The 14,048-nt window shown below is 36.8% G+C and overlaps 1 annotated feature.

Moving 5' to 3' along the window:
* Window positions 7,157–7,658: an enhancer, noted in NCBI's record as "H3K4me1 hESC enhancer chr4:145757647-145758148 (GRCh37/hg19 assembly coordinates)". NCBI's record gives its function as "activates a minimal SCP1, AML or CMV promoter by ChIP-STARR-seq in naive H9 embryonic stem cells {active_cell/tissue: H9 hESC(naive)}" and the evidence as "EXISTENCE:reporter gene assay evidence [ECO:0000049][PMID:30033119]".

Consider the following 14,048-nt stretch of genomic DNA (forward strand, 5'->3'; position numbering starts at 1 on the left):
AGTATGAAAAAAACAAGCCAGAGGCTAGAAGAAAATATTTACAAAACATATGACTAAGAAGGTACTTGAATCCAGAATATATAAAGAACTCCCAAAACTCAATTATAGGAAAACAAATGACACAACAATAAAAAAGGGGTAAAATATTTGAACAAACAACCCAAGAAATACAGGTGGCAAATAAGTACATTTTTAAATGCTCAGTATCTCTAGTCATCAGGGAAATGTAAATTTAAACTACAATAGCATCCCCCTATACACTTATTTAAAGGGTTAAAATTTAAAAGATTGACCTCACCAAGTGTTGGCAAGGATGTGGAGAAACGGGAAATCTCATAAACTACTGGAGAAAATGTAAAATAGTACAACCACTTTGCAAAACAGTTTAGCAGTTCTCTTAAACAGTTAAATACACATCTGTCAAATGATCTAGACATTCCACTTCTATGTATTTATTTAAGAGAAAGGAAAGTATATGTCCATAGAAAGACTTGTGCAGGAATGTCCATGGCAACTTATTTATTTATTTATTTATTTATTTATTTATTTATTTATTTATTGAGACAGAGTCTCGCTCTGTTGCCCAGGTTGGAGTGCAATGGTGATCTTGGCTCACTGGAATCTCTGCCACCTGGGCTCAGGTGATCACCTTGCTTCAGCCTCCCAAGTAGCTGGGACTACAGGTGAAAGCCACCATGCCTGACTAATTTTTGTATTTTTTGTAGAGCCGGGGTTTTGCCATAATGCCCAGGCTGGTCTCAAACTCTTGGGCTCAAGCAATCTGCCTGCCTCCACCTCCCAAAGTGCTGGGACTACAGGTGTGAGCTGAGTTGAGGCTCAGCCTCAACTTTATTTTTAATGACCAAAAACTAGGACCAACCCCAATGTCCATCAACAGGTGAATATAAACACAAACTATGATGTATCTGTACAACAAAAAATAATCAGCAATAAAAAGGAATGAACTGTTGATACAAACTACAACATGAATCAACCTCAAAATAATTATGCTGAGAGAAAGAAACTAGACAAAAAGAAGCACTTGCTGTATAATTCCACTTACATAAATTTCTAGAAAAGTAAAGCAAATATAAAATGACAACCAGCACGGTGGCTTACGTAGTAGCCCCCAGCTACTCAGGGGGCTGAGGCAGAAGGATCACTTGAGGCCAGGATGTCAAGACAAGCCTGAGCAACAAAGTGAGACTTCAGCTCTAAAACAAATAAAAAATAAAATCATAATCATTTTTAAATGGACAAAAAGCAGATCAGTGGTTGCCAGGGGATATGAGGTGGAGAGAACAATAGGAAGAAATTCCAAAAGGCACAAGATTTCTCTTAATAGATATGCTCATTATCTTGACTGTGTTGATAGTTTCACAGATGCATATACATTTGCCAAAATGTATCAAATTATCCATTTTAAATATGTACAACACTAAATTATTGTATGTTAATTATACTCCAGCAATGCTATTTTTAAAATATCAAGGCCATAAGAGACAAGGAAAGATTGAAGAATGGTCATAGTTTGGAGGACAATAAGGAGACATGACAACTAACTGGAATGTGAGATCTTGGACCAAATAAAATCTGTATTTTAGTTTAATAGAGTTGTGCCAGCACTAATTTATTAGTTTATAATTGTATTATATTTTGTACCAGTGCTGATTTCTTAGTTTATAATTGTATTATATTATGTAAGATGTTAACATTAAGAAAAGTTGGTGAAAGTGAGTGGGAACCATTTTCAAAACACTATACACCTTTAATTATTTCAAAATAAAATATATTTTCTAAAAAATCTATAGAAGGGATAACTCCCAATAGGACAAAGTTAAAGAACAATCAAATTAGAAAATATAACTGAGGAATTCTAGCAAATGGAAAAATACATATTTTTTTAATACAGAATTTGAATGACATGGAGAATAGATGCAGAAGTATTAATATTAGTAGTACATTCAAAAGTCTATAGAAACTGTATGAGAAGCAAGAACTTAAGTAACAACAGCAAAAAAAAGAAAATTCCCAGAACTTAAGGTTAGCATGAGTCTTCAAATAGAAAAAGCCATCATATTGCTAAACAGGAAAAAATGCTTTTAAAAGCTATACTTTGAGTCCTGGCACCAAAATTTTAAAACATCAAAAATAAATAGTAAATCTTAAAAGCTACCAGAAAGACAGATGACCTGGAATGGAAGGAGAATCAAATTTATGTTACATATCCCAAAAGTAATATTGGTAACTATACAATGAATGGAGTGATATCTTTAAAGATTTAAATGGAAATAACTTGAAACACAAAGTTGTCTATCCAGACAAGCTATCATTCAACAGTAAGAAAAATATAAAAATATAATCAGATATATAAAAATCCTAATGTATACCAGCTCTAATGTTGCACAACTTCAAGTACATGTACCTGATTTTCCCTGGAGTGGTGCAGTGCACAGCCTGTGTAGTGTGTGCAGTAAACCTAATCCATAGATCCTTCTTGAAAGAATTAAATTCAAGGGCAATCACTAGAAGAATAGGATATATTTCAAACAAATATAATAAAAGTATGGAACAAAGAAAATTTTATTGCTGGAAAAGAAGGGAAGAATAAAACATGTATGAATAAAAAGTATGGTAATAGAAAACAAAAATATCATAAAAAGGTTATGAGAATTACCCTCCCACTGTAAATAACCACAAAACTGAACAAAATATGAAACAACGCTTCTAAGATATTCAACAATAGGCAACATAGTCTTGTGACACTTGAGAAGCAGGAAGCAAACAAGATGAAACCTATAATTTTCCTGGCTTTCTGCCAGGTGGTAGTTTTACACAGCTCAAGAAGGGGATTATACGTTCTCTTTATTTTCTCCTGAGGTGAGAAGAGATTGGAATTCAGGGAGGTCAAAATGACTAGAATTTATGCAGCAGAATTCCAGAGATGGTGAAACTGTAAAACAACAGCTCTACATTCTGCAAAGGAATCTTCTGGAGTGTTTGGAAGAGTATACTAACCTACACATCCATGAAATAAAACTCCTTGAGACTGAGAGCAGGAAATCAGTAGGCTGAACTATTCCCAGAATGAGTCTAGGAATAGTTCACAAATCAGAGTACAGAAACTTCATAATATGAAGAACATTTGGAAGAGACCTCGGAAAGGTTAGATGTCAGTAGTGGGGCTAACCTAGGACTAAAGACTGCTCTAAATCCACCTGAGCAAAATTTGAAAGAACCAAAAGGGCTTCGCAAAACAAACTACAACACTCTTTAAAGGAATCAAATGAAATCAGGTACTCAACAATATAAAATTTACTGTGTGGAATCTAATTTAAAAATGAGCAAGCATGCAAAGAAGCTGTTATGAACTGAAAGTTTATGCCTCCCCCAAATTCACATGTTGAAACCCACTTATGTGATGGTATTAGGAGGTGGGGCCTTTGGGAGGTAATTAGGTTTAGAAGATGTCGTGAGAGTAGAGTCTTCATGATGAGATTAGTGTCCTTGTAAGAAGAGAAACAGACCAGTGCTCACTCACTCTTTCCACCATGTGAAGATACAGCAAGAAGGTAGCCATCTGCAAACCAAAAAGACACCATGCACCTTAATCCTGAACTTTACAGAAATAAATGTTTGTTATTTAAGCCACCCAGTCTATGAGGTATTTTGTTATAGCAACCTGAGCAGACTACAAAACAAACAGAAAAATGTTACATATAAGCAAAAGAAAAATCAATAGATAGAAAAACAAATGATGCAGATGATGAAATTGTCAAAGTGTATTAATATTATACTGAAAATTTTAAAGAAAAATATCAACACAATGAGAATAAGAGATAAAAATAATACAAGTGGAACTTTCAGATATGAAAAAAAAATACACAGGATAGGATTAACGAAGAAAAGATTAGTGAACACAAAGCTATAGCAAGAGAAACTATCCAAAATAATACACAAAAGAGATAATTTTTAAAACAATGAATAAGGCCCTAGTGACCTGTGGGACATTATCAAGCACACTAACATACACATAATCATACTCTCAGTAGGAGGGAATGTAAGGGCATGGAAATACAGAAAAACTATTTGAATAACTACTGAATGAAAACTTTCCAAATTTGATCAAAATTATAAACACGAAAGTCGAAGAAGTTTAACAAACCTCAAGCAAAATAACACAAAGATTATTCCTACCAAAGCACATTATAACAATGCTCAAAAACAGTGATAAAGAAAATCTTAAAGCCATAAAAAGAGACATATTACATACAAAAGTACAATGATAGAGGTTGTATCATTTCTGATAAGGCACTTTTTGTCAGAAACTATACAAACTAGAAAACTGAAAAAAAAAAACAATCTAAAACTCTATACCCAGTAAAATATGTTACAAAATGAAGGCAAAATAAAAACTTTTTAGGCAAGCAATGGCTTAGGAAATATATCACCAGCAGAACTGCACTAGAAGAAAAGACGTTCTTCAAACAGAAAGAAAGTGGTACCTAATAAAAATTTGGAACTACCCAATGGAGTAATCAGCATCAGAAATGGTAAATATGCAGGTAAATATGAAAGAAAATTTTACTGAGTTTTAATTAAAAGATCATTGACTTCGGACAGGCACAGTGGCTCACGCCTGTAATCCCTGCACTTTGGAAAGCCGAGGTGGGCGGATTGCTTGAGGTCAGGAGTTCAAGACCAACCTGACCAATATGGTAAAACCCCATCTCCACTAAAAATACAAAATTTGCCAGGAGTGGTGCTGCATTCCTGTAATCCTAGCTACTTGGGAGGCTGAGGCAGGAGAATCACTTGAACCCAGGAGGCAGATGTTGCAGTGAACTAAGATCACACCATTGCACTCCAGCCTGGGCAACAAGAGTGAAACTTCGTTTCAAAAAAAAAATAAAATAAACCATTGACTTCTTACAGCAAAATAATAACATGAGCTCGACACTATTATCTCCATCTTATAGATGAGAAACTGAAGCACACCTTGGTTAAGTAGCTTTCCCAACGCCACACAAAGTGATAGAGCTTCTATTTGAACCTAGATGGTCTGAACATTTGGCCCCTACATTATAACATTATACAATAAAAAAACATTATTTTTTCTCTATAGACAGGGTCTCTCTGTCACCTAGGCTGGAGTACATAGTATCATCGTAGCTCACTGCAACCTTGAACTCTTGTGCTCAAGCAATCCTCTTGCATCAATCTCCCAAGTAGCAGGGACTAAAGGCGCACACCACCATACCTGGCTAATTTTTTTTTTTAGTTTTTGTAGAGACAGGGTCTTGCTATGTTTCCCAGGCTGGTCTTGAACTCTGAGTGATCGTCCCATCTCAGCCTCCCAAAGTGTTGGGCTTATAGGTGTGAGCCACCATGACTGGCAAAACATCAAATATTTATAAAATAAAATATTATAGACCCAATTAAATAAGTATGAACTTCATGTATTAAAATAGATGGATCTCAAAATATTGTTAGGCAAAATTAGCAAGTTATACAAAGATACATATATGAAACCATTTATGATAAAAACAAAGGCAAACATAAAAATAACATTGTGAATTTCACAAGGGCATATATACCTATGAAAAATATTTTTCAAAATATGAAAATATTCATGCCAAATACAGTAATAATCATTAGTTAGGAGAAGGAAAAGGACCTGAACTTGAGAGTGTTGATCAAAGAAAACTTTAGTTTTATCTGTAATGTCTTAATTTTTAAAAAGTAGAATATATTCATATAATACAGTTATCAAGCTAAAAGTTTGTTATCGAGTCTACTGGACCAGTAATATCAATTATATTAATAATAATCAGTGTCAGTAGTATTAGTGACAGTATCAACAGTATCAATGACAGTGTCAGCAGCATCAATAACAAACTCTTAGCTTGATAGCCCCAAAAGCGGATCATTTAATCTATTTTAAGTACACAAAGTCATGTGCAAATATGAGAGTTTTATGCATGTTTCTTGGAGGAGCATTTTAAAAGAGAGCACTATTTTTATGAATAAACCTAAAACACAGAAGAGGTTATTGTAACTAGCATCTATATATCACTTCAGAGATAACTATCAATTTGTGAATATATTCTATCACTTTTCCAGATTTATTGCGATATAACTGACAAATTTAAATTGTGTCTATTATAAATTGATGTTTTGATATATGTATGCATTGAGAAATGATTACCACAATCAAGCTAATATATTCATCAACTCACAGTTATCATGTGTGGGTGAAGAACATTTAAGATCTACTCTCTTAGCAATTTTCAAGTATATTATACATTATTATTAACTATACTTATCATGCTACACAATAGATCTCCAGAGTTTATTCTATAAAACTAAAACTTTTAACCTTTAACCATATCTCCCTATCCCCCCTCCCACCCAGCCCAATAACCACCATTCTACTCTCTGCTTCCATGAGTTTGACCTTTTTAGATTCCACCTATAAATGAGATAATGTATCATTTGTACCTTCATGCCTGGCTTACTTCACTTAACCTAATGTCCTTCAGGTTCATTTGTGTTGCAGCAAATAACAGAATTTCCTTCTTTTTTGAGACTGAATAGTATTTCATTTTGTATATATACTGCATTTTCTTTATCAATTAATCTGTTGATTCTATATCATGGCTATTGTGAATAATGCTGCAATGAACATGAGACTGTGGTTATCTCTTCAACATACTGATTTTATTTCCTTTGGATACATACCCAGAAGTAAGATTGCTAGATTTTACGATAGCCCTATTTTAAATTTTTTGAGGAACCTCCATACTGTTTTCCATTGTGGCTCCAATAATTTATATTCCTACCCTCAGTGCACACAGATTCCCTTTTCTCTACATTACCACAAACACTTGTTGTCTCTAGCCTTTTTGACAATAGCCATCCTAAGATGTCTGAGGTGATATCTCATTGTGGTTTCAATTTGCATTTCCCTGCTGATGAGCATTTTTTTAATATCTGTTGTCCATTCGTATGTCTTCTTCTGAGAAATGTCTATTCAGGCTCTACACCCATTTTAAATTGGGTTATTTGCTTTCTTGCTATTGCATTCTTTAAGATCCTTACATATTTTGAATATTAACCCTTTTTCAGATGTATGGTTTTTAAATATTTTCTTTCATTTTGTAGATTGTAGCTTCACTCTTGTTTGATGTGTGTGTGTGTGTGCATGTGCATGTGTCTATTTGTCTGTTTTGCTGTGCAAAACTTTTTTAGTATGATGGAATTCCATTCTTCTATTTTTGCTTTTGTGTCCTGTGCTTTTGGGGTCATATTCAGAAAGCTATTGCTCAGATCAGTTTCAAGAAGCTTTTCCCATAAAACTGTTAAAAAGTAACCATAGCTAGAGAGGCCCGTTCCAATATGGCCAAATAGGAACAGCTCCAGTCTGTAGCTCCCAGCATGATCGATGCAGAAGACAGTGATTTCTGCATTTCCAACTGAGGTACCTGGTTCATCTCACTATGACTGGTTGGACAGTGGGTGCAGCCCACGGAGGGCGAGCCAAAGCAGGGCAGGGCATCGCCTCACCCAGAAAGCGCAAGGGGTCAGGGGATTTCCCTTTCCTAGCCAAGGGAAGTTGTGACAGACTGTACCTGGAAAATTGGGACACTCCCACCCAAATACTGCACTTTTCCAATGGTCTTAGCAAATGGCACAGCAGGAGATTATATGCCACACCTGGCTCAGTGGGTCCCATGCCCATGGACCCTTGCTCACTGCTAGTGCAGCAGTCTGAGAATGACCTGCAAGACAGCAGCCTGGCAGGGGGAAAGGCATCCACCATTGCTGAGGCTTGAGTAGGTAAACAAAGCGGCTGGGAAACTTGAATTGGGTGGAGCCCACTGCAGCTCTGCAAGGCCTGCTGCCTCTGTAAACCCCACCTCTGGGGGCAGGGCATAGCTGAACAAAAGGCAGCAGAAACTTCTGCAGACTTAAACATCCCTGTCTGACAGCTCTGAAGAGAGCAGTGGGTCTCCTAACATGGTGTTTGAGCTCTGAGAACGAAAAGACTGCCTCCTTATGTGGGTCACTGACTCCCGTGTAGCCTAACTGGGAGACCCCACCCAGTAGAGGCCGACTGACACCTCATACAGGTGGGTACCCCTCTGGGACGAAGCTTCCATAGGAAGGATCAGGCAGCAATATTTGCTGTTCTGCAATATTTGTTGTTCTGCAGCCTCTGCTGGTGACACCCAGGCAAACAGGGTCTGGAGTGGACCTCTAGCAAACTCCAACAGACCTGCAGCTAAGGGACCTGACTCTTAGAAGGAAAACTAACAAACAGAAAAGGATAGCATCAACATCAACAAAAAGGACATCCACACCAAAACCCCATCTGTAGGTCACCAGTATCAAAGACCAAAGGTAGATAAAACCACAAAGATGGGGAGAAACCAGAGCAGAAAAGCTGAAAATTCTAAAAACCAGAGCGTTTCTTCTCCTCCAAAGGATCACAGCTCTTCGCCAGCAATGGAACAAAGGTGGACGGAAAATGACTTTGACAAGCTGACAGAAGTAGACTTCAGAAGCTCAGTAATAACAAACTTCTCTGAGCTAAAGGAGGGTGTTCGAACCCATTGCAAGGAAGCTAAAAACCTTGAAAAAAGGTTTGGATGAATGGTTAACTAGAATAACCAGTGTAGAGAAGACCTTAAATGACCTGATGGAGCTGAAAACCATGACATGAGAATTTCATGACACATGCACAACCTTCAATAGCTGATTAGATCAAGTGGGAAAAAAGGGTACCAGTGATTGAAGATCAAATTAATGAAATAAAGCAAGAAAACAAGATTAGAGAAAAAAGAGTAAAAAGAAAGAAACAAAGCCTCCAAGAAATATGGGACTATGTGAAAAGGCCAAATCTACGTCTGATTTATGTACCTGAAAGTGATGGGGAGAATGGAACCAAGTTGGAAAACACGCTTCAGGATATTGTCCAGGAGAACTTCCCCAGTCTAGCAAGGTAGGCCAACCTTCAAATTCAGGAGATACAGAGAACACCACAAAGATACTCCTCAAGAAGAGCAACCCCAAGAAACATAATTGTCAGATTCTCCAAGGCTGAAATGAGGAAAAAATGTTAATGGCAGCCAGAGAGAAAGGCTGGGTTACCCACAAAGGGAAGCCCATCAGACTAACAGCAGATCTCTCGGCAGAAACTCTACAAGCCAGAAGAGAGTGGGGGCCAATATTCAACATTCTTAAAGAAAAGAATTTTCAACCCAGAATTTCATATCCAGCAAAACTAAGCTTCATAAGTGAAGGAGAAATAAAATCCTTTACAGACAAGCAAATGCTGAGAGACTTTGTCACCACCAAGCCTGCCTTACAGGAGCTCCTGAAGTAAGCACTAAACATGGAAAGGAACAACCGGTACCAGCCACTGCAAAAACATGCCAAATTGTAAAGACCATCGATGCTAGGAAGAAACTTCATCAACTAATGGGCAAAATAACCAGCTAACATCATAATGACAGGATCAAATTCACACATAACAATATTAACCTTAAATATAAATGGGCTAAATGCTCCAATTAAAAGACACAGACTGGCAAATTGGATAAAGAATCAAGAACCATCAGTGTGCTATGTTCAGGAGACCCATCTCACATGCAGAGACACACATAGGCTCAAAATAAAGGGATGGAGGAAGATCTACCAAGCAGATGGAAAACAAAAAAAAAGCAGGGGTTGCAATTCTAGTCTCAGATAAAGCAGACTTTAAACCAACAAAGATCAAGAGAGACAAAGAAGGCCATTACATAATGGTAAAGGGATCAATTCAACAAGAAGAGCCTCAGAGACCTACAAAGAGACTTAGACTCCCACACAATAATAATGGGAGACTTTAACACCACACTGTAAATATTAGACAGATCTACGAGACAGAAGATTAACTAGGATATCCAGGACTTGAACTCAGCTCTGCACAAAGCAGACCTAATAGACATCTACAGAACTCTCCACCTCAAATCAACAGAATATACATTCTTCTCAGCACCACATGCACTTATTCCAAAATTGACCACATAGTTGGAAGTAAAGCACTCCTCAGCAAATGTAAAAGAACAGAAATCACAACAAACTGTCTCTCAGACCACAGTGCAAACAAACTAGAACTCAGGATTAAGAAACTCACTCAAAACTGCTCAACTACATGGAAACTGAAAAACCTGCTCCTGAATGACTACTGGGTAAATAATGAAATGAAGGCAGAAATAAAGATGTTCTTTGAAACCAATGAGAACAAAGACACAACGTACCAGAATCTCTGGGACACATTTAAAGCAATGTGCAGAGAGAAATTTAGAGCACTAAATGCCCACAAGAGAAAGCAGGAAAGATCTAAAATCAACACCCTAACATCACAATTAAAAGAACTAGAGAAGCAAGAGCAAACAAATTCAAAAGCTACCAAAAGGCAAGAAATAACTAAGATCAGAGCAGAACTGAAGGAGATAGAGACACAAAAAAACCTTCAAAAAAATCAATGAATCCAGGACCTGGTTTTTTGAAAAGATCAACAAAATTGATAGACTGCTAGCAAGACTAATAAAGAAGAAAAGACAGAAGAATCAAATAGACGCAACAAAATGTGATAAAGAGGATGATATCACCACTGATCCCATAGAAATACAAACTACCACCAGAGAATACTATAAACTCCTCTATGCAAATAAACTAGAAAATCTAGAAGAAATGGATAAATTCCTGGACACACGCACCCTCCCAAAACTAAACAAAGAAGAAGTTGAATCTTTGAATAGACCAATAACAGGCTCTGAAATTGAAGCAATAATTAATAGCCTACCGACCAAAAAAAGTCCAGGACCAGACGGATTCACAGCCGAATTCTACCAGAGGTACAAAGAGGAGCTGCTGGTACCATTCCTTCTGAAACTATTCCAATCAATAGAAAAAGAGGGAATCCTCCCTAACTCATTTTATGAGGCAAGAATCATCCTGATACCAAAGCCTGGCAGAGACACAACAAGAAAAGAGAATTTTAGACCAATATCCCTGATGAACATCAATGCAAAAATCCTCAATAAAATACTGGCAAACAAAATCCAGCAGCACATCAAAAAGCTTATCCACCATGATCAAGTGGGCTTCATCCCTGGGATGCAAGGCCAGATCCACATATGCAAATCAATAAACATAACCGATCACATAAACAGAACCAAAGACAAAAACCACATGATTATCTCAATAGATGCAGAAAAGGCCTTTGACAAAATTCAACAGAACTTCATGCTGAAAACTCTCAATAAACTAGGTACTGATGGAAGGTATCTCAAAACAATAAGAGCTGTTTATGACAAACCCACAGCCAATATCATACTGAATGGGCAAAAACTGGAAACATTCCCTTTGACAACTGGCACAAGACAGGATGCATTATCTCACCACTCCTATTCAACATAGTGTTGAAAGCTCTGGCCACGGCAATCAGGCAAGAGAAAGAAATAAAGGGTATTCGATTAGGAAAAGAGGAAGTCAAGTTGTCCCTGTTTGCAGATGACATGACTGTATATTTAGAAAACCCCATTGTCTCAGCCCAAAATTTCCTTAAGCTGATAAGCAACTTCAGCAAAGTCTCAGGATACAAAATCAGTGTGTAAAAATCACAAGCATTCCTATACACCAATAACAGACAAACAGAGAGCCAAATCATGAGTGAACTCCCATTCACAATTGCTACAAAGAGAATAAAATACCTAGGAATCCAACCTACAAGGGATGTGAAGGACCTCTTCAAGGAGAACTACAAACCACTGCTCAACAAAATAAAAGAGGACACAAACAAATGGAAGAACATTCCATGCTCATGAATAGGAAGAATCAATATCGTGAAAATAGCCATACTGCCCAACGTAATTTACAGATTCAATGCCATTCCCATCAAGCTACCAATGCCTGTCTACAAAGAATTGGAAAAAACTACTTTGAAGTTCATATGGAACCAAAAAAAAGAGCCTGCGTTGCCAAGACAATCCTAAGCCAAAAGAACAAAGCTGGAGGCATCACGCTATCTGACTTCAAACTATACTACAAGGCGACAGTAGCCAAAACAGCATGGTACTGATACAAAAACAGATATATAGACCAATGTAACAGAACAGAGGCCTCAGAAATAACACCACACATCTACAGCCATCTGATCTTTGACAAACCTGACAAAAACAAGGAATGGGGAAAGGATTCCCTATTTAATAAATGGTGCTGGGAAAACTGGCTAGCCACATGGAGAAAGCTGAAACTAGATCCCTTCCTTATACCTTATGTAAAAATTAATTCAAAATGGAATAAAGACTTAAATGTTAGACCTAAAACCATAAAATCCCTAGAAGAAAACTTAGGCAATACCATTCAGGACAATAACAAGTCTTTGCATGGGCAAAGACTTTATGAATAAAACACCAAAAACAATGACAAAAAAAGCCAAAAATAGACAAATGGGATCTAATTAAACTGAGGAGCTTCTGCACAGCAAAAGAAACTACCATCAGAGTAGAACAGGCATCCTACAGAATGGGAGAAAATTTTTGCAATCTACCCGTCTGACAAAGGGCTAATATCCAGAATCTACAAAGAACTTAAGCAAATTTACAAGAAAAAAAAACCCCATCAAAACGTGGGCAAATGATATGAACAGACACTTCTCAAAAGAAGACATTTATGCAGCCAACAGACACATGAAAAAATGCTCATCATCACTGGTCATCAGAGAAATGCAAATCAAAACCACAATAAGATACCATCTCACACCAGTTAGAATGGCGATCATTAAAAAAGTCAGGAAACAGATGCTGAAGAGGACATGGAGAAATAGGAACACTTTTACATTGTTGGTGGAAGTGTAAACTAGCTCAACCATTGTGGAAGACAGTGTGGCAATTCCTCAAGGATCTGGAACCAGAAATACCATTTGACCCAACAATCCCATTACTGGGTATATACTCAAAGGATTATAAATCATTCTACTATAAAGACACACGCACAAGTATGTTTCTTGTGGCACTATTCACAATAGCAAAAACTTGGAACCAACCCAAATGTCCATCAATGATAGACTGCAATAAGAAAATGTGGCATTAGGAGATATACCTAATATTAAATGATGAGTTAATGGGTGCAGCACACCAACATGGCACATGTATACATATGTAACTAACCTGCATATTGTGCACATGTATCCTAAAACTTAGAGTATAATAAAAAAAAAAAAAATGTGGCACATATACACCATGGAATACTATGCAGCCATAAGAAAGGATGAGTTCATGTCCTTTGCAGGGATATGGATGAAGCTGGAAACCATCATTCTGAGCAAACTATCATAAGGACAGAAAACAAAACACCACATGTTCTCACTCATAGGTGGGAATTGAACAATGAGAACACTTGGACACAGGGTAGGGAACATCACACATGGGGGCCTCTCGTGGGGTGGGGGATAGGGGGAGGGGCACATTAGGATAAATACCTAATGTAAATGATGAGTTAATGGGTGCAGCAAACCAACATGGCACATGTATACCTAGGTAACAAACCTGCAAGTTGTACATATGTACTCTAGAACTTAAAGTATAATTAAAAAATAAATAAATAACGATAGCTACAATCATTTGTTGAGAGATACAGGTTACAAAAAGATGTAAATTATGACATGAAAAACATTAATATAAGTGGGGGAAGCAAAAATGTAGAGTTTTTGTAAGCAAAGGTAAGTGGTTATCAGCTTAAAATAGTCTGTTATAACTATAAGATGTTTCATGCAAGCCTAGTGATAACCACAAAGCAAAAACCTATAGTAGATACACAAAATATAAAAATAAGTATTCAAAACACATCACCATAGAAGATCATCACCATCAAACCATGAAGAAAAACAGTAAGAAAGGAAAAAATGAACAAAAGATCTTAAAACAACCAGAAAAACAACCAGAAAGATCTATAAAACAACCAGAAAAAGAATAACAAAGTGGCAGTAGTATATAGTA

Source organism: Homo sapiens, chromosome 4 (genome assembly GCF_000001405.40).
Source record: "Homo sapiens chromosome 4, GRCh38.p14 Primary Assembly".
Taxonomy (NCBI): Eukaryota; Metazoa; Chordata; class Mammalia; order Primates; family Hominidae; genus Homo; species Homo sapiens.